The 27056-nt window shown below is 41.5% G+C and overlaps 1 protein-coding gene and 1 pseudogene across 23 annotated transcripts in view; both read left to right on the top strand.

The window, feature by feature from the left end:
- The window catches only part of ZHX3 (zinc fingers and homeoboxes 3), a 139277-nt gene that overhangs the window by 7536 nt on the left and 104685 nt on the right, over positions 1 to 27056 (top strand). For 10 of the 23 annotated variants that reach the window (XM_005260341.5, NM_015035.4, NM_001384323.1 and 7 more), the window contains exon 1: positions 10076 to 10230. The exons of the other annotated variants lie outside the window; for them this stretch is intronic. The gene's annotated coding sequence lies outside the window, so the exon portion shown is untranslated. Of the gene's footprint in view, positions 1 to 10075; positions 10231 to 27056 lie in introns of those variants that run through there. 23 annotated transcript variants of the gene reach the window in all.
- On the top strand, positions 19619 to 19916 carry RN7SL615P (RNA, 7SL, cytoplasmic 615, pseudogene; annotated as a pseudogene).

The following is a 27056-nucleotide window of genomic DNA, read 5'->3' as shown; positions in this document are numbered from 1 at the left end:
GGAGCAAAGAAGGCATATAGTTGGATTGAGCCAGGGTTGGGGTTTGCTGGGGTGAGTGGCAGAAAGACAGTGGAGCAGAGGAACTGGGATATTGGCCAGGGGGTGACTAACGTGATAGCTAAAGGTATCTAGGCTAGATGGGGAGGAGAAAAGGACCAGTGTTGTTGAAGTCAAGGAATGGGTGTGTGGAGTGATGGAGTAATAGGATGTGGCTAGAGAGGGACGCATGAGTGGAAGATTTCAGAGTTGGAGCAATTAATTACTGGGCATGACAGATTCCTGTGTTTTGCTACAGATATAAGTGACTGAAATGAAGTGAACTCAGTGAAGAAGGCTGAATTCAAGGAGGTCAAGTAACTGAGAGGCTGGAGAGTTGTTTCAGCCATCTGTGTGGTCAGAGAAGCCATCAGAAGGATTGTAGGATATTTAGGATGGAGAAAAGGAAAGTGGGCCGAATCTTCAGCAAATGGGGTGGGGTTGGAGATCCCAGCAATGAGATGTTGTGGTTACCCTGCAGGAATCTGAAAGGATCAGGGGATTTTACCCGAGGGAGATGGAAAAGTAGTGACCTGGAAGGTTTATTGGTTGCCAGGTCTCTCAGGAAGGAGTCGGCCATGGCCCAGGTTCATTATACTTCTGAAGGAATCCCAATTCAAGAGGGCAGCACTAGAGGCATGTAGTATTGTGTTTCTAAACGTGTTCATGAAAATCATATGAGGATGTATGTTAAAAAAACAGATTCCAGGCTCTATCCCGGGCCCACTGAACTACAGTCTTTAGTAGGAGGAGACTGAGAATGTGTATTTTTAACACCCTCCCCACTTGGTAATTCTTTATAATTAGGCAAGTTTGGGAAATGCAGCTGTAGTGATTAAGAACATGGCATCTGGAAGCCTATTGCCTGGGTCTGAAGAAGGTGGGACTGGTGGGAGGGAACCTTAGCCCATGACACTTAAGAGTTTGGCTTTCCTGATACATCTGATATCAGAAACAGTGAACTAAGAATGCTCTATCAGAGGCAAACACACTGACAACAGCAGGAAGGGACAGCTAGTAATGACAGAAACAGAAATGCTCTATAAAATAATTCAAAGTATAGCTGTTTGGAGACATTTATTATAGAGAAAAACATAACCTGTTTGCCTCGGTGGTCTCTGAATACATCAACTGATTATAATTGTTATCATGTTCAACAGGAATAGGTCGAATTAGGGTTTAGTTTGTTCAGAAAGGCTGAGAAGGAAGTTGTGCAATTTAGAAAGCTTTCCGTCATAAACCAGCATGCTTAGTGCTTTAGGTATTTGTAAAATTATGTGCACAATTCTGTCTCTGAAGATACTGGATTTAAAAACAAAGTTTTACTCAACAAGCCAAAGTTAAGAACAGTTGTTATCCCCAAGGGGTTGTCTATATGATTAGATATTTAATATTATGATACTGGTAGCCTTACTGCCCCATTCTCCCTATTTTCCCTGGGAAAATTCTTTCCATGACAAGGAGAGGAATCCTGCAAAAGAATAGCTGCTCACGAGGGAACTTGGAGTTAGTCATTCTTGGCTGACCACTTACACTCCCCCTGTTGCTATTAAAGAGGTTCTGAATTTGAGTTGCATTGTTTAGATTACTTAACACTATACCACCTGGTTTATCATACCCAAACACTAAAGCTTTGGGAAAAGAATGTTGTCAGCACTGTTGAAGTGGTTGCTATGGACCTTGAGCCTAAAACTTGATTTGCTCAATCATGTGTTCCATTTCTTATTTCCTCTTGGACTGAGAAGGCTGGCTTTCAAACTGGTGAATAGCAGCACCTCAGTTGCATTCCAGTCACCTACCACATCCTTCCAGTCACTGTCTCCTCTCCTCAGTGAACTACAGGGAGCTAGTCAAATGTACATCATGAGGCCTAGAAAATGTGGCCGTGGAGGATTAGCAATGCCATTTCAACCAGAACTTTCATTTTGCAAGTTGAGATTTGTAAAAAGTGATTCCATTTTAGAGAAAAAAAGGAATTCAGAGTGTTGTTCCCTTTTAGAAAAACATTTTCTTCTAAAGCTGAGGAATACTCAACCGATCAGTGTGATGGTGATAATATGTTCTTTAATGTCACACTTTTCCTCCCGTCAGAGCTCAGGAACCCTTGCAGGCTCTGCTGTATTACGGTGCTCTTTATAATGTTTAAGTCACTAAAGGTATTCATCTTGTGAAGTGTTTGTATTCCTGCTGTGAACTAGGTACCTTAGTTGAAAAGAGGGTCCATGTCCTCAAGGAACTTTTTAAAAAGTCGAGGTGCATTTAGATCTCTAACCTCAAGCAGACCATGCTATGTGCTGTGAAGGAGATATAATCAAAATGTTATAGGATCACAGATGAAAGAGAGGTTATTTCTAGTGGTGGATGGAGGTGGCAAGAGGAGATTGGAGGTTGCTTTAAGGGAATGTTTGTATTCAGACTGGATCTTGAAGTTTGAGTAAAATTTTGGAACTAGTAAATTACATTTGATATTTTATGTTTACTAAGGCATCATTTATTTTAGCAAGACTACAACATGGTGCTTAATGAATTAGCCTTCAGTTATCTGAAATGACTCAATTGCTTTGGATACCTTGTTTCTGTAATTAATGTGTGATGCATTAAGGAATATTTGGTGGAGAAGGGCTTTTATGGAAGCATAGCTGAAAATGATCTTGGGATCATAGTAGAGATCTGAAAGAATGGGATATATAGTGGTATGGTAGTGAATAGAAAACCAGAATGATAATGGGATGTATATGTTTGAATATATGGTTTAAAATGGAGGGAAAATAGAGCTCTAAATGATGTTAATGAGGCCTTCATAGGAAATGAATAGTCTGCCAGGTTAACAGGACTTTTGAATACTCACCATCTCATTTCTGGGTATCTTTCTCTGGGGTGGTTGTCAATGTGGTCGGTAGATCCCTGTGGGGTTGGCCACAGTAAACCAAAGGAGGTCAGCTGCTCCTCATTCTGCCTTGCTCTAGGTGGCTAAGCACAGATGGTTTTACAGAAAGCCTGTGAAGCCATGTCCAGAGTGGCTCTTTCTGCCCTAGACCTTTGCACACTTGGTTCCTGGGCTTGGCCTACCTCAAAGCTATGTCTTCCTGCCATGGAGTGGATTCTCTCTCACTGGTGTGTGTACTCTCTGGATGAGTTCACACTCCTTTGGCAAGCCCATTTCTTGCCATGGTAGGTTAGCTATAGCTGGACCATTGTGCTAGCCTTGTAGGTGGTCATCGTTATGCCTGAAATCTTGCATTCAATTTTTCCTTTCCCATGTTAAGGCTCTTCCACTTGACCCCTCCATTCAACTCTTAATTTTCCAGGAAGCTGAAAAACATACTACTTGCTACCTTTTGTGCTGAAATGGGGCCCTGGCCCAGAATTTTGATCCCCTTGGGAATCAACATATATAGTTCACAGAAGATAGCATTTCCTTTTTGTTTATTCCTGATAATGACAATACCATTTAAAAAGCCAAGATATTTGGCAATGCTATAGGCCCCATTTTACCATACAGGTAACTAAAGCCACTTAAGAAAATGATTTCAGTAATTCACCAAATAACATACTTATTATGTGACTACTATGTGTCAGATACTATGCTGGACACCAATGGAGAGCAAATCAGACATGGTCTTCTGTGGTACTCACAGTCTAGTGGACCTATGGCCAGAAAGCCATGAGAGCTTTATAGAATGACTGTAGGCTTTGGGGAAGAAAGGCCTGGTGTCTAGTCCCACTTTTGCCTTTTATCAATTACATGACCTTAAGCATTTGACCCTATTTTCTGTCAAGTAAAATAAAAAGGATTTGCCCTGGCTTATAAGATTTTTCTAAGACTGGATGAGACCACGTAGAAAAGAGCTTTGCAAAGGTCAAGTTACTATATATGCAAATATAGTTGGGAGTAATCAGCCGTGTCTTCTTTAACAAGAATGACTAATGGAGTATTTTCACTTCTCTGTGGCTTCAGAGAATGCGTCGCATCCCCAAATACAATGCTTGAACTGAATATTAACATTTCACTAATTCTAATGTATATTAATAAATAAGGAAACCAGCTACTTAGGTGGTACCTAGGGCTATATAGTTATCTTTAAAGTCGTAGATTTAATACATATTGGCTTTATTTCAGAAAACAGTGCTTCTGGATATTTACTATATAACCAGAAATTTTTTATTACAACAATGGATATATAATTCTAATAATACAATACATACCACAATATAGTACAAAAATCAGAACAATAGTTATAATAAAAAGTATTCTTTGTAAATAGTAGAAGATTACTTTTTGCAGGTTTATGTTGATAAGGAGTTTTGAGCTGAGCTGTTACTTTTTGGTCGTTGGTTGGGGTTTATTTATTTATTTATTTATTTATATTTTTTTTGAGACAGAGTCTCGCTCTGTCACCCAGACTGGAGTGCAGTGGCGCGATCTCGGCTCACTGCAAGCTCCGCCTCCCGGGTTCACACTATTCTCCTGCCTCAGCCTCCTGAGTAGCTGGGACTACAGGCGCCCGCCACCACGCCTGGCTAATTTTTTGTATTTTTAGTAGAGACGGGGTTTCACCATGTTAGCCAGGATGGTCTTGATCTCCTGGCCTCGTGATCCGCCCGTCCCGGCCTCCCAAAGTGCTGAGATTACAGGCGTGAGCCACCGTACCCAGCTGGTTGGTTTTTGAGACAGGGCCTTGCTCTGTTGCCCAGACTGGAGTGCAGTGGTGTGATCCTAGCTTACTGCAGCTTCTACCTCCTGGGATCAAGTAGCCTCCCTCCTCAGCCTCCCGAGTAGCTGGGACCACAGGTGTGCACCAACATGCCTGGCTAATTTTTGTATTTTTTGTAGAGGCAGGGTTTCACCTGGGATCAAGCAATCCACCCGCATTGGCTTCCCAAAGTGCTGGGATTACAGGCATGAACCACCGCTCCCAGCCAACTTTCTGTTGTTTTAATGTTCCCTCTTACCTTGCGTATCACTGAACAACTAAGACATTTCGTTGTAGGTATTTTTTGTAGCAACCTAGACAAGACCCTTAATCTTTGAACCTCAATTTTACTCATAAAATGTGACCTTTTCTTTGCCATGCCAACTTAACAGGGTTGTTGAGACATTCAAATATAGTATTGAATGGATATGCTTCTATCTGTGTAATGGTCCTTGTTCAGTCATGGGTGTAGTGATGCGGTAATTCTGGCAAATGAATGCCCCAGAAGGGCTATGTCTTGATTTGTAACATAGTCCTTGGTCAAGTCTTGATTCTTCCCCATGATGATTCATCCTATTGTCCCATTCTCATTTAATAACATCTCACTTTATACCCACTTGGCCATTAGCCAACACTTTCTGAGCTTCTGCTGTGTGTCAAGTCTGTGTAAGATGCTGGGGATATAGAGGAGAGTACCTGTCTCCTGGGTACTTGTTCGAGTAGGGGAGTTCAAAACTGCAACAGCAATTCTTGCCTCCATTTCTAGCCTGCTGGTCTGCCCAAAATTTAAGACTTGTCAGCCCTACAATTGCGTGAGCCAGTTCTTAAAATAAATCTTAGTGTGTGAGTATGACTGTGTATTCATACAGATATCCATTCACACACACATATATATAGTTGTTTCATATTGGTTCTATTTCTCTGTAGAGCCCTTACTGAGACAATAATAAATGCTCTCCTTATGGATGCAGTAAGAAGAGGAATAAGCATGGTAAACAAGATGCTTGCTGTGGTTTTAGCCATGTTGAGTTTGAGCTGGAATTCCACCCATGGAATCCAGGTGGAAATACTGGCAGGCACGTGTAGCCAGATTGTGGAGAGCTCACATGAGTGGTCTGGACTGTGGAGATATAGCTACACTTCCACAGCTACACACTGTGGAAGTCTCCAGTGTGTAGCTGTCAGTTGAAGTTATATCTGTGGATGATTTCAAACAGAAAGTATAGTATGTAGAGTAAGAGGAAGTATAAAGATGGAACCCCAGGAAATACCAACATTTAGTGAGGAGGCAGAGGGGAGGAGACTATACTGGAAACCAAGTAGGAGTAGACAGACAGGGGGAAGATCAAGAGAGAATGGGGCCATGGAAACTAAGGCAGGGGATAATTTCAAGAAGGTGGGAGTACAGCAGTGTTAAGTGCCATGAAAAGGTAAAGTAAGAGAAATGTTGGAAGTTGTCCATTGGATTTAGCTCTTAAGAGGTATCACTGGAGGTGAATGTTTCAGCATCCCACCACCACATTACCTTGGGTGGGGGTGGAGTAGAGAATCCATGGTAATGAAGTAGAGATGCATTTTCACTGCTGATGCTTAAAAGAGCTCAGCTAGGAAGTGTGAGGATAAGAGGGGGCTATGGGCTTCCCAAGGAAGGGGTGATTTTAGGATGAGAGGGGCTCTAGCATGTTCAGAGGCCGAGGAAAGGAGGAGCCAGGAGAAAGGAAAAAAATCAGAGATTCAGGAAGAGAAAGGATAAGTGCTTGAACAGGGTCTCTTCTGTGGATGGAGGGGCATGCACAGGAGATGGCCAGTAGCATTGCCAGAGGAGGAGTGCCTGTTTCATTTGACTGTGTGGAAAGAGGAAAGGCTATTTGGGGATACAGAGAAGTCTATAGAAGGCAAGGGGCTGGAATTTTTGCCCTTGTAAAAGCTTCTATTTTTTTGTGTAAAGTGGAGCATTGGTATCCACTGATAGCCAAGGGTAGATGATGCAGTAAGGTCTTTGAAGGCAGGTAAAATATAAAATTACTGTGTGGAGCTTGGAAGTGGGAGTTGATTTTTGCTTCTCATTGTGTTTTGAATAAAAGTTATACTCCACAGTCTGATATTTACGAAGACCTCCACAATCTGCCTTTTATCAGTTCTACTAGACTACCTATCCTTTTTGTTTCATTCTAGCACCCTTGTACCTTAGTTCAGTGTGTCTGATGTGGCACTAGAATGTGGCTTTGAGAGATTAGATGCTGCAGGGAAGATGCTGTTAGACTAAGAGTCAGGGGTCCTGTGTCCAGTTTGGCTTCGCCACTTATCAGCTATGGGATCTTGGACATACCTTAACTTCACTAAGTCCATTTTTTTCATTTGTGAATTGTTAATAACAATAGTATTGATGAAAGTGTGTCAAATGAGAAAACATATTTTAAAGTACTTGAAGAGGATAAGTAATACAGAAATGGAGATGGTCGTCAGGCTATGCCTAATCCTAGCTCCAGGCTTTCTTCATTACCACTAGAGTCCTCTCCCTTCTCTCCAGCTGCCATTTTAATTCAGCCTGTATTGTGTAGAGAAACACTAGCTACTGTAATAGATAAACCCTGCAGAAACTTCAGTGGCTTAAAACAGTAGACATTTCTGTGCTCATTTAAAATCCAGTCACCTGTGGGGATGGAGGGGGCCCAGACTAATGATGCTCTGCCATCTTCAAACCATGGTTTCCAGGTTGCCCTGGGTGTCAGTGGCCTGCCAGCAGTGTTGGAGAAGAGAGTGAGAGGGCATGATTGGGAGGCTTTTGTATACCAGGCCTAGGATAGGAGCTAGTGACCAAGGCTAAAAGAGAGATGGTTGAGAATAGGCATCTGTCTACTGGATAGGTGGTGAATTGGGTGTGTGTGGGTGTTTATTTGCAGAAAATGGTTGAGGTGGCTCTGAGAAGAGTGAGGTGCAGGACCTGCGCAACCCCAGGAGGGAATGGAGAAGCTCCTGCCTCTATGGGCAGAGTTCGGGAAGGGCCAAGGGGCCTAGGACTTGTTCCTGGTAAAGAAGGCAAGTGATGCAAAGGTGGGAGAGAGGTCCCTGGGTCAGGGAAGAGGGAGCTGAGAACTGGGGTGTTAGTACACCTTTGTGGTGAGCTTCTTAAAGGCTAGGGAGACACTGTTTATCTTTTTTAGGATAAGAAAATTGATGCAGTGGTGCCTTGATAAAGGGCACACAACTAATTGGCAGCAGAGAAATGAGCTAGGGCCTGGGTCTTTTGACATCAAAGCCCCTACTAGTGAGACCCAGGAAACATCCCACTGGGAGGGCTGGAAAACCTGGGCTCTGAAGAAGTTGATTTGAGGTAAACCGTTGGGCACGGGGTTGGAAGAGCACTTGCGGTGGCCTGTTCCTTTTTTTTTTTTTTTTTTTTTTTTTTTTTGAGATGGAGTCTCGCTCCGTCGCCCAGGCTGGAGTGCAGTGGCGCAGTCTCGGCTCACTGCAAGCTCCGCCTCCCGGGTTCACGCCATTCTCCTGCCTCAGCCTCCCAAGTAGCTGGGACTACAGGCGCCCGCCACTACGCCCGGCTAATTTTTTGTATTTTTAGTAGAGACGGGGTTTCACCGTTTTAGCCGGGATGGTCTCGATCTCCTGACCTCGTGATCCGCCCGCCTCGGCCTCCCAAAGTGCTGGGATTACAGGCGTGAGCCACCGCGCCCGGCCTGGCCTGTTCCTTTATAGGTAACTCACCCTTTGCCTGCATCTGCTGGATGGGAGGTGATTTTGGGGTGTGTGGGTGTTTATTTGCACAAAATGGTGGAGGGAGCTCTGAGAAGGGTGAGGCAGGACCTGTGCAAACACAGGAGGGAATGAAGAGGCTCCTGCCTCGATGGACAGAGCTTGGGAAGGGCTTGGGGGCCTAGGACTAGTTCCTGGTAAAGGAGGAAGGGCAAAAATCCTAAGGCAGGACTGTTCTTAATGAATTCAAGGACTGAAAGGAGACCAGGTTGGTACAAGACTAAGAGGAGGAGAGGTGTATGAGAAGATACTGGAGCGCAAAGCAGGTCCCATATCACTCAAGAACTTACAGGGCATAGCAAGGCATTAAGATTCTATTCTAAGGTCAGTGAGAAGCCATTGTATATTTTGAGTATGGGGTGGTATGATGGCCTGATTTATAGTTTAAAAAGACCACCCAGACTGTTGTATGGAGAATGGGTAGTGGGGAGGCCAGAATATAAATTGAGTGTAGTCGGTGGGGGAAAAGGAGGAATTCAAGAGGAGATGAAAGTCTGGAGCTTAAAGAAGAGGTTCAGGCTGGAAAATACAATTTGATCCAGTATTTCCTGTTAGCTCACTCCCTGTTCTTAGCCAGGCTTCCTGCGAGTAGCCTTATCCATGGTCTCTACTTCCTCACCTCCTGCAATTTAACCCTCTGTACTCTGGCCTCTGTCACTGCCACTTACTTCCCTGAAATGTCTCAGGCAAAGGGCACCTTAGGCCCTTTGTGGTTACCTAAGTCTAGGCCTTTTAGCCCTTGTCTGACTTGGTTTGCGTTCCTTCACACTGTGAGCGACTTCTGCCTTGAAAGGCCCTCCTCCTTAGCCCTTCTGTCTTTCTGGCCCGTCTGTCTTTCTGACCCATCATTCTGTGGCCCCTTTCTGGTCCCCAAGTCCTTAGGCCAGCCCTGAAATGTTAGCATTCCCCAGTCTTCTGGGTTTCCAGTTGGTCCTCCTGGCTTCCCCTGTGCCCCTCTGCATAGAATAAACCCTATCCTGCCCATTAGGCCAACACTACTTGCCTTTCCAGCTTCGTCTCAGGTGCCCCTCCTCCAAAAGCCTTCTCTGACCCCTCGGGCTGGGTAGGTGCCACTTCTCCTTTTCCATTTCTCCTGGAGCATAAAGTAGATTACCTCTGTGATAGCACTTAGCACCCTGTTGACTTGTCTCCCCAGTCTAGTAGTGCTTGAGGGATAGAGTTACAATGAAATACTGCGTGATCTAGGACAAAGATTGCTTTCTCCAGTTCAGGTGAAAGCCACACTTTATAATGAAGGTATCTATACTTGATTGTATATCCTTTAATAGTGCATTCATTTCTCACTGGGTCTGAAGGCTGGAATTCTGGTATAATATATTCTATGAACAGATTAATTTAACTAGAAATAATCAGTGTCTCAATTTTCTGAAAGGAAAAAAAAATGACTAAGAATCTGAATTGCTTCAAAAGGGCTTCTGAAGCCTTGAATTTCTTGCCTGGTAATTTGGATCTCCACTCCTACCCTCCCATCCCAAAGCCTGTTACATGTGTCTCATATTTTGTGATTCCACAGTTCTGGGTTTGACATTACAATTGCCTCCATGGTGATGAGCACTAACATTCTTGTGTGCTGAATTGTGATAGCCGTCAAAGGCAGCAAATAGACTGAATGAAAGATGAGCTTCTGCCTTTATATCCTTCTCTCCTGCTACCCAACTCATTGTGGTGAAGGAAAAAGAAAACGCGGGTGGAGACTGCACTATATGCTTAGGTATACAAATCATACATCTGGAGTTTCAGGAAGGTTTTGGGTGGTTAATGTCACTAAACTCTCATGCTTGGCTTTTTTTTTTTTTTTTTTTTTTGAGACCGAGTCTCCTTCTTCTCCTTCTGTCGCCCAGGCTGGAATGCAGTGGTGTAATATTTGGCTTACTGCAACCTCTGCCTTCCAGGTTCAAGCGATTCTCCTGCCTCAGCCTCCTGAGTAACTGGGAATACAGGTGCCTGCCACCATGCCTGGCTAATTTTTGTATTTTTAGTAGAGATAGGGTTTCGCCGTGTTGGCAAAGCTGGTCTCGAACTCATGACCTCAAGTGATCCACCTGCCTCAGCCTCCCAAAGTGCTGAGATTACAGGCATGAGCCACCGCACCTAGCCTCATGCTTGTCTTTCATATGTCTTTTTCTACTCTTGAATTTTTTCTTTTTGTCTTTCTCAGCTCCAAATTCACTCTATCATTTTTGGCAGGTGGAACAAAGAAAATATAATGTTGAATCACTTTCTTCTCAGTGGCTGTGATTTTTAGAATATTTCTTGATTTTTTTCAATGTTTAGTTTTCTGAGCCTAGCAGAGCAAAAAAGCAATGATGCCTTTGATTAAATGAAACCCTTAGCATAATTACTCAAAATCATGTGACAGATTATCCTTGTGCCTTTTTTGATATAGTGTTGGGCTGATTAATTTATCTTTAAGAAAAAACATTATAGAGTTGTTATTTACCTTTAACTAGAATGCCTCTCAAATGGAATAAGACTGCCCAAGTAAATGTAATAGCAGACTAAATTTGAGCTGTTATATTATTCTCTGAAGGTTTTGTTGTTAGCAGGGTGAGAAATGCTGGCACATAGGAGCTGCACTCTATTGATTCCCAATTATGTTTATTTCTGGTGTCCAAATAAGACATTAGGATTGCAGACTTTCAGGTAGGAAGTGACCACAGGGTTTTCCAGTATGCCCACTGGTGAGATGCCAACTCATCATCTTACGTAGGGGACACCTCTTGGTTAGCACAAGAACAGTCTTCCTCATAGGAAGCCACAATATTTGTCCTGGGACTCTTGACCCACTGGACTTCCTTAGTCTTTCCCATCATATATAACATATGCAACCCTTCAAGTACCTGAAGAAGCTTTCTTCACTTTCATCTCCCAAGTCCCTCTCTTCAGATTCTGGATCCCTGGTTTCTTCAGATGTAAACTTCCTCCTTAGTCTGCATATTGTGATCCTAATGAATTATCCTGAGGTTTTGTTAGCATTTTAATGGTTCAGTCCCTTACTAAACTTACTCCTGGCTGACACCCACTCTCATGGAACTCCCCTCTGAATGTAGGTTCTAAAACATCTATTCAATGAAGTATTTCTAGCTCAGTGATCTTACTAGCATAGTTTTACTGCTATGTTTTGTTACATTTGTTAATATTGTAATATACTTCCTCTAAAAGTAAACAAAGGCTTTTAAGCCCTAGGGTGCAGGTAAGATGCCAGTAAGGCTGTAGAATTTGATTTCCAGCTAGAGGAGACTTAACCAACTTCAGTTTGGTCTGATTATAAAAGCAAGCATTTATTGAGCCCTCATAGCATGTCACTCACTGTGCTAAGGACTGCTACATGTATCATTAACCCTGTGTTAATAGTAGTGTCATTAATAGTGGATAGTGTTATTGACCTCATTTTAATGATGAAGAAATGGAGGTTTGGAAAGGCTGGGGCATGCTCCATGTTTCACATGTCACAGTGTGACCCAGAGCAACGAGCTCCTAATGTGCCACTATGCTGCTGCTTTAATGCCTTCCTGCTGGGTAATGCTCTGTGTACAGTTCCTTTCTCTTGTACTTTGTATTTACTTCTCTGGTCTTCTTAAAATATAAATAAAAAAAAAAAGAATTGGATGACTCTTTTTAACTCACCAGGGCATCTGGAAGAGCCCTCTGCACATGGCGGGTGCTGACAGCTAAGGCTGTCCTTAGCTCTATATCTTTAGACTCAATAGAAATAGATGAAACTTCTGTGAGTTCTTCAGTCTTAGGATGACTAGGGCCACTCTAGACCTTGTAAGTGCATCTTAAACCAGTAAAAGTCTGACACATTATGGTGGGCTAGGACTCAACTGAGGGGTGTTTCCTTTAACTCGCCTTTGGACACCTGGACAGCACAGACCAAATGGGAGAAAATATGGCCGTTGTCATTAAAGTTGGACTGGCAGTCAGTTGCCTTTATTCAGTCCTGGCTCTGCCTTACATACTTACTTACCCTGGGTAACTAGGTCCCCATTTCCTCACTTGCTCTGGGAATTGGAAAGGAGAGAAAGGTGTGTGTAGGGGGGTTACTTCATATTCTTTCCCACTCCATCCGAGGCTAACACAACCCTTTGGTTTTGGAGAGTCCATTCTTGTGCTCTATTTTCTAACTCCACATGAAACCATGGCACAATAGGAAAGATGGGATGTTTGCGAGGCTGCTATGTTTCCCCTTCCCCCAGTCTCTGAGAGATTGGTAATTTGGACACCTTTATTAGTTTGAGATAAAACTGGGACTCACTGACTGAGGCTGGACTGAAGATTTAAAACATGGGGGTGCCTAGAACTTCTTGTCAATTCACAGGGTCCCAAGGGTTTAGAAGCTGATGTTATTCCTCTGGGGTCTGAGGAGAATGGCTCAGCTGTGGGACCAACTCAGGCCTATTGGGGGAACACAGGCTAGCCTTGGGAGTTTTGAATCATCAATACTTGGGAGTATTTTAGAATTATCAGATCCTGCCTGCATGTGCATCTCAATCTGAAACCCCAGAACTGCCATTCTCCTTGTGTTGATTCAAGATATAAATGATTCTGGAATTCTATAGACAGAACTTTATCTGTCAGAGTCCCAACAGGAAAAGTTGGCATTCTCAACTTAGGATAATTCCAAGAGAGTTTACTTCAAGAGGTATGGGCAGGATGTAGAGAAAACCATAAGGGATAGTGCAGGAACCAGGGTTTATAGTGATGGTGGAGCTGTTACTACCCCTAGCTCCAAAGAGACAAATGGATGAAAATGGATGAAAGTAGTTATCAGGAGCCAGAAGAGATTGTCATTATCAAGTGTCAAGAGGCTACCTTGAGAGGAGCAGTGAATTTTGGTTGAGGGATGCATACGCCACAAGTAGAATGAATTCTCAACTTTATTCCCTCCCTCGCTTCTCCCTTCCTCCCCCGATCTCTTTCTGGGACTTAGCATTGGCTAAACCCAATCAGAGGTCAAGGTCATAGGGACCTGTTGATGTGATTCATAATGATTAGCCTGCCAAGACAGAGAGCAGGGTAGAGAAAGTTGGAGTGGGCATCTGGGAAATAGTAGACTTAAGGACCCCTGTAGTTTTAGAATGGGCAGAGCTCATGTGCACGTGTGTGGCAGAAGGTGGGGAAAAAAGGATGAGATGAGCATTTCTTGAGCATCACCATGTGCTAGGGACTTTCTTGTGACATCACCTTTTGGGGCAAGTAGTATTATTTCCATGTTATAGATGTGGAAAACTTGAGCTCAGATCTCTTGGCCCTAAGTCAACTCAGTCCTGGTGATCCCCGTGGTGACAGGTAGTATTTGGATATTTCTCTTATCTTACTTTCTCTGTGGCCCATTCCAGAAAGCCGCATTTCATACATAGTATTGCTGGGAGAACAGTGAGGACTGTAACAGAGCTGCCATGTATTTTTTTTTTTTTTTTTTTTTTTTTTTTTTTTTTTTTACTTTATGAACTTGAGGAGAAGGGAAAAGAAGAGGAAAAAAACTCAACTTGGCATGAGTGATGTTAAGTGAGATCAAATAAGGTGAAAAGCAAAATAGACTCCAGAAATTTAGTTTTGCTTTTACCCAAAGTTCATGGGCAGTTGCTGAACAAAGTCCTTTTTGCTTTCCACAAATGTTAGGCACTTTTAATAACATGAATCTCATTATCTTTACTTTTTGGTTGTTTATGAACTTAAATAGCATTATAAAGGACAACCAACTGAACGAGAAGATCAAACTGTGTGTGTCACCTTTTACTATTTCATTTCTTGCGAATGTACAAATTCTTACACTTGTAATGAGTTAGTTATTTTGGCTCCTGATAATTTTTTTTTTTTTTTGAGACGGAGTCTCGTTGTGTCGCCCAGGCTGGAGTGCAGTGGCGCAATCTCGGCTCACTGCAAGCTCCGCCTCCCGGGTTCAGGCCATTCTCCTGCCTCAGCCTCCTGAGTAGCTGGGACTACAGGTGCCCGCTACCACGCCTGGCTAACTTTTTTGTATTTTTAGTAGAGATGGGGTTTCACCATGTTAGCCAGGATGGTCTCGATCTCCCGCCTCGACCTCCCCAAAGTGCTGGGATTACAGGCGTGAGCCACCGCGCCTGGCTGGCTCCTGATAAATTTATTATAAAAGTATTGTACAGCCAACAGTGAAATAGAAAGTTTAAATTTTTTAAAAAGGGAATTCTAATACTCTAGAAAATTCTTGGATTTTCTTTTTTCCTACTTTTTGATCACATGCATGCATAATTTTATATGGCTAGAATTATACAAGTTTGTATTGTTCCCATGTCATTGTAAGCATTTTTCCATGTTGCTATGTAACCTGCATAATTATATATGATAGTTTCTCAGTTTACCTTAAATATTGTCTTATTATATATTTTTAATTTTTTATGCCTTGCTGCATTCTATGAAAAGGATTGCATTCTACTGAAGTGTTTTATGTATTATTTTTCTTTATAAATATTGTTTATTTGCATCTCAGGCAACTAGTTTCCCCACCCCTCCCTCTTTTGTTCTTCTGGAAGAAGAAATGGAATTATTTCTTTAGGATAATTTTGGGAGTGGAATGAGCAACTCTGAAGCTACATCAAGGAACTGGAAATATAGTAGTTTGAGGGATAGCTGAGAGAAGAGTACAATTGAAATAAGTCATTAATACAGAGTTTTTACTTAAAATATTAATGTGGGCTGGGCGCAGGGGCTCATGCCTATGTATAATCCCAGCGCTTTGGGAGGCCGAGGCGCATGGATCACTTGAGGTCAGGAGTTCAAGACCAGTCTGGCCAACATGTTGAAAACCTATCTCTACCAAAAAATATAAAAATTAGCCAGGTGTGATGGCACATGCGTATGGTCTGGCTGAGGTGGGAGGATCGCCTGAACCCAGGAGGCAGAGATTACAGTGAGCAGAGATTGTGTCACTGCACTCCAGCCTAGGCAACAGAGCAAGACTCCATCTCAAAAAATCAATCAATAAATAATGTGGATTTTTATTAAATCTTAGGTTTTAAAAACTATTGCTAAGGCTGGGCACAGTGGCTCATGCCTGTAATCCCAGCACTTTGGGAGGCTGAGGTGGATGGATCACTTGAGGTCAGGAGTTCGAGACTAGCCTGGCCAACATGTTGAAACTCCATCTCTACTAAAAATACAAAAATTACCCAGGTGTGGTGGGGGGGTGCCTGTAATCCCAGCTACTCGGGAGGCTGAGGCAGGAGAATCACTTGAACTCAGGAGGCAGGGGTTGCAGTTAGCCGAGATCATATCGCTGTACTTCAGCCTGGGAGACAGAGTGGGACTCCATCTCAAAACAGCAACAACAACAAACTATTACTAAATGAGAACTTAGACATCATTTACTCATAAGTTTAAGGTATGACATCATTTACATACAAAATTTAGCTGTTAATTCTAAATTGTTAAGTTTTAAAAATTTTGTTGTCAGCTAAATTGAATGTAGCATAATTCTAAACAAATCTTGGATTAATGTCATTGACCCCAAGCATCCTCTAGCCCTGGAATATTAGCATTGGCCTGTTAGTCCCCTGAGCTACTACTCCCTGGGAGGTGGTCATCCTTTCTTAACTCATTCTTTCCAGCCCTGGGGAGCCTCGGAACTTTTGTCTATTCACTTCTTTACAAAGCTGTAGCCTTCTGGCCAGAAGGGGCTTCCTTGAATGGTGCCCATGTCCTTCCACTTGCCTTTGATTGTCTGGAGTTGTGCTTTCTGGAAAAACAGGCAGGTTTCTTCCATTAGGCAAGAAACATCAGAAAATTAGAGATCTGTTCTGGTTTTCACTCTCTGTATCCTTAGCTCCTGGCATGGTGCCTGGCACATAGCAGATGCTCAAAAACACATTTGTAGAATGAAATGTCTTGAGACAATCTTTCAGATGTGTGAATATGACCATGATGTCCCCACATTGTCACCTCTTCTTCAGGTTTAAGATCCTTCAGTTCAGCCATTCTTTTCGATAGAATTTCCAGATCCCTTTCCCTCCTTGTTTCTCACCAAACTGTGTGACCACAGTTCACTGTCAGTCACTTAGAATGTGTGACCAGACTTATAGCTAGTTCTCTAGAAGTGGTCTGATTTGTAGCAGTATACTCAAGTGTGCCTTACTTTTTTTTTTCTTTAGCAAATCTCTGGTTGTTTATATTCTTTTACGTGATCAGCTGTCAAGCCTGGTCTCTTCCAAGAGGTGCTTTTGCAATTGTTTCCTTCTAGTTTAGTGTTACTTGGGATTTGATGAGGGTTCTTCAATATCCTTATGTGACTCATCAGTAAAAATGAGGAACAGGAGGGGCCCAAGGAAGAGTTTTGTGGAAACCTCCTTCCAAACTGACAATAATCCTCTAAATCCATGCTTTTCAAACTGTGATGTGCATACAAATTACCTGGGAATTTGGTTAAAATGCAGATTCTGATTCAGAAAGTCTGGGTGAGGCAGAGCTTCTGCCTTTGTAACAAGTTTTCTCTAAGCTTGTGCTGATGTTGTGGGTCTCCCTGATCATCTTTTGAGTAGCAGGGCACAGTTCTTGGGGAAAGTTGTTCATGAAAGCAAATCCTTTGGTATTTGGGTAGCTGTGCTGTACCCATCAGAGCCCCCAGCAGATACTATCTGATGCCGGTATTTGACACCCTATAATCAAACGTGCGTCTCCCATCTCACTAGGTAGATGAAGAAAACAACAGCAGGGCTGTCTTGCCAGCTTCCAAATGGTGGCACACCTCTGTGTATGTTCAATTGGACCTTTTATTCTAGCCAGACAAGCTGTTACCCAACATACTTAGTATCTTTTCAAGTTTCTTGTCATCTGGACATCTGATAAAGTGGTTGTGTATACTGTTTTTTTGAGTTATTAATCTGAGATACTCTCACATACCAGAAAGTTACAGAAAAGAGACAGTCAACAGTTTTTTAAGCATTGGCTAGAAAGTACAGTGTTACTGATAAAATTCTTTTATAAGAAATGTTATGGAGCATCCAATTTTTTTCTTACTCTATTGGAATTTGGATAAAATGGATGCACTGTTGAAATTACATTCCTAAACTGAAAGGTACTCATGCAAAGGGCAGCTTTTGAATCGTAGATGAGCAAGTGAGTTCTGTAGAAACACAGAGTAGAGAGTTCGTGATCACCTGAACTCCCTTTTCTCCAAGTTTTTAATCTTTTAGCTTAGGGGAGAGGTGCTTTTCTCTTGCCCTTTGTACATGGCAAACAGCACTGTGACCCATACTTTTTTGGTCATTTCAAAAAAAAATTACTATTAAGCATTGGTTAGAAAGTAAAGAAGTTTAGACAACAAAGCATTTGCACTTGTTTATTTTGTAGAGCTCATTGTGACCTGGTCAGTGGGACAGGACAGTTCTGTATACTGTTGATTAATATGTTCAGATAATTCTGGTTCCTAAATATTAGAGACAGTGTCTTCCTAATGTGTCACAAAAGTTGAATCCTGTAACTAGACATTAAATTCAAAAGTCCCAATCGGAGGATAAAGACAACAGCAAAAAACCCCAAAGCTTTGACACTGACAATTCAGCTGCTCTATTTTCATAAAAAATAAGCAATAATGCCAATATTCAATCCAGATTGAAAATGAAATGACTTGGATGTATTAATAGTAATTGAATTATAGAACTCTTTTTTTTTTTTTTTTTTTTTTTTAAAGATGAGGTCTTGCTGTGTTCCCCAGGCTGGTGTTGAACTCTCCTGGCTCAAGCGGTTCTCCAGCCTCAGCCTCCTAAATAGCTGGGATTACAGGTGCACGCCACCTTGCCAGGCTTGAATGATAGAACTTAAAAACAACTAGAGTGCCATTAACTTACCCCTAAATAACAATAGTTCTTTAATATCATCTAATACTCAGTCTATATTTAAATTTCCCTGATTGCTCAAAAATGCATTTTTTTTAGATTCATGCTTTACTTTTAATTGATGGCCCATACAAAAACTTTTGTAGGTTTTGAATATATACATATATAAACTTATATCTGTGTGTGTATACATATGCATACACAAACACGTGTGTCATACATGTATGTGTGTATACGTATACACACATATATTCCAAACCCACAAAATATATAGTATATATATATTCTTGTCCATCAATCTTTTATTTATGTAACCACAGCTTTCATATGGTACTTATGCTCTGTGCTTGCTGAATTATTAACAAAGAAGAGTGTAGTCATTTCTATCATAATTACTGCGTCTTCGTTAGAAGAGATTTAAAAAGTTGATGCAGCCACCCTTTCCAATCCTGTACTAACATGGTGTTAGCATCTTCTTAGAGATGCTGCCGTAATCCTAATTCTGCAACATTTGTGTCATTTTGAATTTGCCTTTCTCTGGCAGCATTTCTCATCTACTTCCACATATTTTTAAGATTTGTTGTGACTTCTGTTCTCTGATCTTCTCTTTCTATATGGATTACTGACCTTGAATTTATGCAGCTTCTCTTTCGGTTGTGGAAAGAACACTGCATGGGGGAAAAAGTCTGAGTTCACATCTCAGCTCCGTGTGGGGAAAAATGTCTGGATTCAAATCTCAGCTCCATCACTTACTAGCTGTATGACCTGAGGCAATGTATTTAACTTCCCCAATTACTTTGTAATTGAGCAACATATTTACTTCCCTTTCAGTGGGCTTCATCAAACAATACCACATATTGCTTAAAATATCCTAAAGCTCCCCAAAGTTGTAGGCAGGGAGGAAGCAAATTATTGGGTCACTGTTTATTGTCCCAAACTACAAGTTAGCATTGCCTAAGGAGCCAGGTTGGGAGGCCCCCAGATGAAGAAAGTGGGAGAGGAGATGGTAACTAATTAACTGAGTCCCTGTAGCCACTTTTCCACATGATCATTTAGACCTTGAAGCTGTCCTGGAGATTTTATGATTTAAGAAACTGGCTCTGCCATCGTAGCCAAATGGTTAAGATCAGTAGCTTGGGTTGAAATACCTGCCTTCCTACTGCATACTAGTAGCTGTATGACCTAAGGCAGGTCCCTTCACCTCTCTGCATCTGTTTTCTCATCAGACACAGAGATAACTCAGATTCTGCTTCATACAATGTTTGTGAGGATTAAATGAAACAAGTGACCAGATGCAGTAACATGTGCCTATTGTCCCAGCTACTTGGGAGGCTGGGGTGGGAGGATCGCTTTAGCCCAGGAGTTAGGGCTGTAGTACGCTATGCCAGTCGGGTGTCCACACTGAGTTTGGCATCAATATGGTGACCTCCTGGGAGCAGGGAACCCCCAGGTTGCCTAAGGAGGAGTGAACCTGTCTAGGTCAGAAACAAAGAAGGTCAAAACTCTCATGCAGATCAGTAGTGGGATTGTGCCTGTGAATAGCCACTGTACTCCAGCCTGAGCAACAGAGTGAGACCCTGTCTCTAAGAGAAATAAAATCTATTCTGTTGTACTGGCAAAATAAATAAATAAATAGTAAGAAATGTGTGAGGTTTCAAGCATAGTACCTGGCACATAATCAGCATTCAATAACACAAACTGTTACTCATCTTTTACTTCTCTTTAGAGCTAGTCTTTTTAAAGGAAGACTGTGGAGTTCTAGTGACTTTTAATAAAATTCATAGTAGTGACTACAGACTAAGCAGATTTTCTAACAACCATAATGGAACTTTGTCAAACATGAATGCTTTCCTTTCAAATTGGTTATCTTGAAAGCCTCTTATTTTAATGTTGCCCCAATGTTTGGCGTTATTATTAGTTTTTAGTTTCTAGGTTTCTTTTTGTTGAAACTACAACTAGGATAGAAGTGCATACTTACATAATTCAAATTAGTTATTTCCATGTTTTCAGCAATCTTTTATTGACCACCTACTATTTGTCAGGCTTCCGCTAGGCACTTGGAATATGGCCATGAACCAAGTAAGACAGGATCATTTCTCGGTGGCATTTGTAATCTAGGGGCCAGAGAGCTTTCATTGGCACCTTGGATTATGTTAAAAAAAAAAAAGTGACAGTCTTAAATAACATTGTTAAAGCTGCTGAAAGGAAATGGACAAATTTTCAAATGTTTGGTAGACATAGCCAAACGTTTTATTAGTACAATAAGATTGCATCCTTGGCATGTTACCTAAAAGGAAGACAGATGCCTTCGTTATGAATAAAATGAGATGTACTGAGGGAGACACTACTCTGTAACCAGTGCAATAATGTAACTAGCACTTTAAATTCAAATTTGGAGTAAAACAAGGAGCACCGTTATTTTTCTCTGTTTGACTGTGACTTTGGAACCACTCATTCATGAACTAGAAATGGGAGGCATAGTTACATTAAACAACACACCTGACAAAGTTATTTACCAATGACCTGGTAATTATTGAAAATGGTTATATATTCAAGAATATTTGTGCTGAGTGCTGTGGCTCATGCCTGTAATCCCAGCACTTTGGGAGGCTGAGGCAGGGGGATTGCTTGAGCCCAGGAGTTGAGACCAGCCTGGGCAACAAAGTGAGACCCTGTCTCCCTGTCTCTACAAAAAAATAAAAAAAAATTAACTGGACATGACATGAATGCCTATAGTCCCAGCTATTTGAGAGGCTGAGGTGGGAGTATCACTTGGGCCCAAGAGGTTGAGGTTGCCGTGGAAGCCATGATTGCGCCACTGCATTCCGGACTGAGTGACAGTGAGACCCTGTCTCAAAAAAAGAAAAAACTATTTGTTAGATTCCATTAATTAGCATGTCTAAAACTGGCTGATTCTTCTAAAAAGTTTCTAAATATATGTCTATTCAATGTAACATCTAAGTATTAAATAATTGCAAAACACATACAATTAAATGAATGAAATTATAGAGTCCTGAAATTCAAAGTCACTTTAGAGATAATTTAGGATACCCACCCTTATAGTATGAAAATGCCTGCAGCTATTTTCCAACACCTCTAGTGATGGAGAATGACTAACTATAGACCAGGGGTCATAGACATATAATATAAAGGTAGGAATTTGTTAGTTATAAGACAAGAGTGGTAGTTACATATATGGCAAACTTTTGGGCCCTATTTGTCATAAAATTTTTTTCAAAATATCATTCTGGCTAGCTAAGATTTGTCTTCTGCAGGCTGGTTTCTGCCTGTGCACCACCAGTGTGTTGCCCTTCAAGTAAATTTTGGCATTGCCTAGGGAAACATCTCAAGATCTTTTCATTTTCTAAATTTGTAATAAACATTATAGAATATAATTTTTAACCATGTATTCATTTAGCAGATATTTATTAAGTGACTACTGTGTGCCTGTAACTTTTCTAGGCAAAAGGGATGGTAGTATTCAGCAAAAAGTCACTACCACCATGGAGATTTCAAATTCATGAATGAGTGGCTCTAAAGTCAAAGGCTGGGAACGGTGGCTCACACCTGTAATTCCACCACTTTGGGATGCCAAGGTGGGTGGATTGCTTGAGGCCATGAGTTCAAGACCAGCCTGGGCAACATGGCAAAACCCTATCTGTGCAAAAAATACAAAAATTAGCCAGGTGTGGTGGCATGTGCCTATAGTCCTGGAAGGCTAAAGTGGGGAGGATCGCTTGAGCCCAGAAGGTGGAGGTTGCAGTGAGCTGAGATTGTGCTACTACACTTCAGCCTGGGCAGTAGGGTGAGACCCTGTCTCAAAAATAAATAAATAATAAAATGAAGTCCTTGCTTTACTCCAAATTTGATTTTAAAGGGCTGGTTATATCATCACAGTGCATATAGAGTGGTGTCTTTCTTAATACATCCCATGATATTTTATATTTTACACATGAGAGTATATTATCTATTGCTACATAATAAATGACTCAAAGTAGCATCTTAAAACAACAAATACCTGTTATGTAACAGAAATGGGTTGAGAATCTGAGCAGGGCTTAATGGGTACCTCTGGCTCACAGTCTCTCATGAGATTGCAGTCATGCTGTAGGTTGGAGTTGCAGTCTCATCTAAAGGATTGATTCAGGACAGGGATGGCCCCACTACCAAGCTTACTCACATGGTTGTTGCTAGGCCTCAGTCTCTCACCATAAGTACCCATCTATAGGGATGCCTCATGACTTGGTGTATTGGCTTCCCCTCGGGGCATGATCCAAGAGAAAGTAAGAAACAGAACCCAGGATGGAAGTCATGGTCTTTATATGACTTAATCTTGGAAGTGACATTTCATCATATCTGCTGTATTTGTTAGAAATGAGTCAGTAAGTCTGGCCTACACTCAAGGAGATGAGGTTTCACAAAAGCATGAATACCAGGACGCAGAGATCATTAGGGGCCATCTTAGAGCCTGCCTAACACAGAAGGTAAGACATATTATAAATAAATATAATGTGTCAAATGGTAATACATGCTGTAAAGAAAAAATAGAGCAGAATAAGGGAATAGAGAATGATAGAATGGGAGTCTGACTGCTACTTGGGGTGGTGTAGTCAGGGGAGGCCTCTCTAAACAGTAATATTTAAGCAGAGTTCTGAGGAAGATAAAGGGAACAGGTGTGGATTCCTGGGATAAATGATTGATTCCTGTTATTCAAATCAGAATGAATAGTAAGTCAAAGGCCTCAAGTCAGCAGCATGTTTGAGGAATAGCACAGAGTTCACGTGTATTAGTCTATTCTTATACTGCTATAAAGATACTACCTGAGACTGGGTAATTTATTAACAAAAGCAGTTTAATTCACAGTTCCACATGACTGATGAGGCCTCAACTTACAGTCATGGTGGAAGGGGAAGCCAGGCACTATCTTCACAAGGTGGCAGGAGAGAGAGAGAGCTCAGGGGAAACTGCCACTTTTAAATAATCAGGTATCGTGAGAGAACTCCCTCACTATCATGAGAACAGCATGGAGAAACCACCCCCATATCCAATCACCTCCCACCAGGTCCCTCCTTTGACATGTGGGAATTACAATTTGAGAGGAGATTTGGGTGGGGACACAGAGCAAAACTCTGTGATTACCAGAGATGTGGAGTAATCAAGGGGAGAAGAGAAGAGATGAGGTTATAGAGTAATGGGAGTGGGGAAGATAGATCATGCAGGGCTTTTAGCCCATGGAAAGGATTTTTGTTTGTACTCTGAAATGGGAAGCCATTGGAGGGTTTTGAGCAGAGATAAGAAAAGAATAGAGAGAAGGAAAGAGTAGCAACATTCCAAGAGTTCTCATATAAGAATTACAAGGAATCTTGACTATAATAAGTATGACTTACAGAAGACTTTTCGACAGCAGCAATCAAGGCTGAAAGACGATGGAACAAAGTGCTTTGAGGAAAAAACTGTCAACTGAGAATAAACTGCCATGCAAGAGTGTGATATCAAGTTAAACTATCAGTAGATCTCAAGTTAACTATAATTCAAGAGTGTGAGTGAAATGGCTTTTTTCAAAGACTGAAGTTTATCATTCACTGACCATTGCTAAAAAACCCCTTAGGAAGTACAAAAAATGAATGCAGAAGGAAGGATTAGGAGTCAGGCAGCAATGATACAATTCATAAACTTGACAGTAGCCATCTTTCTGAAAGTATTTTTAATGTTTTCAATAATAAGTGGCTAATTTTGGGTAATGGGAATGAGTAAGCGTGCTTTCTATTTGTCTTTATAATTTTTTGCATTTTTAATTGAAAAGAGACTTTACAAGTATTCAAGAAAGTGCATTCTCAACAGTGACTACTACTCTGATGCTATTATAATGTTTCTCATCCTTGTCAATATAAGAACTCTTCGCTGATAGTTTAAAATGATAATAGCATTTATTGATCATTTACTCTGTACTAGGCATACTATGCTAAACCTTTTGTATGTATCATCTCATTTAATCCTTAATAGTTCTGTGTGAAAGGCACTATTGCTATTTCTCTTTTACAAATGAAGAAACTGATGCTATGAAAGTTGAGTAACTCTGTGATAACACTAGTTATTAAGTAGCACAGCCAAGATAACACCAGCTAGTGAACAGCACGGCTAAAACAAGAACCTGGGAAGTTTTGACCCTATAATTCATGCTTCTAACTGCTACACTGTTTTCTCCCTTCTTCTACCCAGTTTTGATTACTTTATTTTGATAAATGGTATCAGTTTATTGATACAGTAAATTAAACTGGACTTCTCTTGAAAATAATTTGACAATGATGCCTTGCTGCATTTACTATTACAGAATTTTATAAACAAAAGAGATTTTAATGAACTAGTTCAGCTCCCTCATTTTATAAACAGGGAAACAGAGGCTCAAACAAGTTAACTGACATGTCGAAGGCCACACAGGTGATAGCAGCAACATTTAGAAGATGGGCTTCCTAACACCAACATTAGTATTATTTCCTCTGGAATCTGAATATTTAGCCTTAAAAAAGTTCAGGGTTCTATTGAAATGGCTTCAGTAAGTAAATGATTTGTCCAGAGATGCTTATTCTGTAAGTTGGCATTCATATACCAATATTGATGTAAATGCCTTCCATGGAGAAGAGTGGCAGACAGAACCCTTCACCTCAAGTAATTTACAGTTTAGTGAGGATATAGAGGAATAAAAAGAAATTATAGTTTAGCATGTTAGGTTCCATGAGAGGGATAAAACAGAATGGCAAGCAGAAGGATCATCGACCCAGTATTTGCAGTGGGGAGATGCAAGGGTAGTTAGAGAAAGCTTCTTAGAGAAAGAAGTGTTTACGCTGAAACCTGAAGGACCAGTAAGAGTGTACGAAGTCAAGGGATGGGAGAGGAAGTATATGGAGGAAGAAAGGTGTACCAGATAGTAAGGGGAAAAACTATGAGGCAAGTGAATGCTTGTATCTAGGACCCTAAAGTAATGAAGCATAGCTAGTGAGAGCATGCTGTGTAGGGGGTAGGATGGAGCTTAGGAGAGAGGGGTGGTTAGTTTGGTGGAGGATGAGGCTGGAGAGGTGATAAAGGCTTAGATCCAGATCATAACATCCCTAGATTTGATGCTGAGGGTTTGATGAAGGGCTCCCGAAAACTTTCCAGGATGAGAGCAATCAATCAGATTTTTAGTGAGAAAGATTAAACCTGGAACAGTAAGGAAAATGATTGCAGAGAGCTTCAAGGCTGGGGTCTTGATGAGAAAGGCTAGTCCTTTGAGAAAATATGTAACTGTAGGGACCAACAGACAGATTGAAGATTTAGGAAGTGGAGAACTGGCCATTGTTGGATACTGGTGAAAGGTGAGGGGTTGGGCACTTGGGTATACACTGAGATGGGCAACATAGGGAGTGGGTCAGGCCTAAGGGAGATGATGATTCTGGTTTGGGACATGTTGAACCTAGGAGGTAGTGGGCCATCCAAGAGGAGATACCTAATGGGCAGCTTGCTCTGTGGTGAGAGAAAGCTGGCTTTGGGGATAGTTGGCATGTAAGATGGGACTTGAAGCAATTGGAGAATAGAAGATCAGCAAGGAAAGTGAGTGGCCTGAGAAGAGGAGAGAGTCTAGGATAGCATGCTGCTTGGCACCTTGTAAGTACCCAAATGTTTATAAATGCATTTATTTGGTAAACAGCTGTATTCCTTCTTAAGTAATTAGGTAATAGGCGTTCCTTATTTGGTAATTGAAACATTATGAAGCAAGTGCAATTTTCTCATTACTCTGGGGACGCTAACTCATTCTATCACAAAGGTTTGAGAAAAAGACATTTTTGTTTAATAGCCTTTCCTTTTTTCTTTTTTAAAATTACATAAATAATACACAATGCATATATATTAATACTTGTACCCTCCAAAAGATACAGAAGTACAGAGAGTAAAAAGGTTTTCTCTTCTCTCCTCATCTTCTCTCCACTCAAGACCTTTTGAAAGTAATTATCCATTACTGTTCCTAAGAGGAGCTGGGTTCTGGACAGTCTAGGTTGGAGACTGGAGAGTGTGATCCTCATGTTTGTCTTTGACTCACAGTGACCATAGATAAAAGTGATTTTTTTTTTTTTTAGATGGAGACTCGTTCTGTCGCCCAGGCTGGAGTGCAGTGGTGCGATCTCGGCTCACTGCAAGCTCCGCCTCCCAGGTTCACATCATTCTACTGCCTCAGCCTCCTGAGTAGCTGGGATACAGGCGCATGCCACCATGCCTGGCTAATTTTTTGTATTTTTAGTAGAGACAGGGTTTCACTGTGTTAGCCAGGATGGTCTCGATCTCCTGACCTCGTGATCTGCCCGCCTCAGCCTTCTAAAGTGCTGGGATTACAGGCGTGAGCTACCACACCTGGCCCGATAAAAGTGATGTTAATGTTCAGTGACTGTCTCCCCAGGAGATGCATTTGCTTTTGCCCTTAGTGGTGTGTGACCTTGTTTTTATAGGAAGTCATTCAACTGCATAGTTAGTGGAGAGCTGAAACCCTGCATTATGGACTTTGGGAAGCTCTACCACAGCTGGACAGATGTGGAGGAGAGGGCTCTCATTTCCAGGGTATAGAAAATCACTGGCATGTGAATGCACACACACATGCACCCTGATGGCGATGTCTAAAGAGTTTTGAGGCCGGGCATGGTGGCTCACACCTGTAATACTAGTACTTTGGAAGGCCAAGGCGAGTGTATCACCTGAG

Source organism: Homo sapiens, chromosome 20 (genome assembly GCF_000001405.40).
Source record: "Homo sapiens chromosome 20, GRCh38.p14 Primary Assembly".
In the NCBI taxonomy this organism is placed as follows: domain Eukaryota; kingdom Metazoa; phylum Chordata; class Mammalia; order Primates; family Hominidae; genus Homo; species Homo sapiens.
Note: the sequence above shows the minus strand (reverse complement) of the source record. Positions and strands in the feature narration are given on the sequence as shown.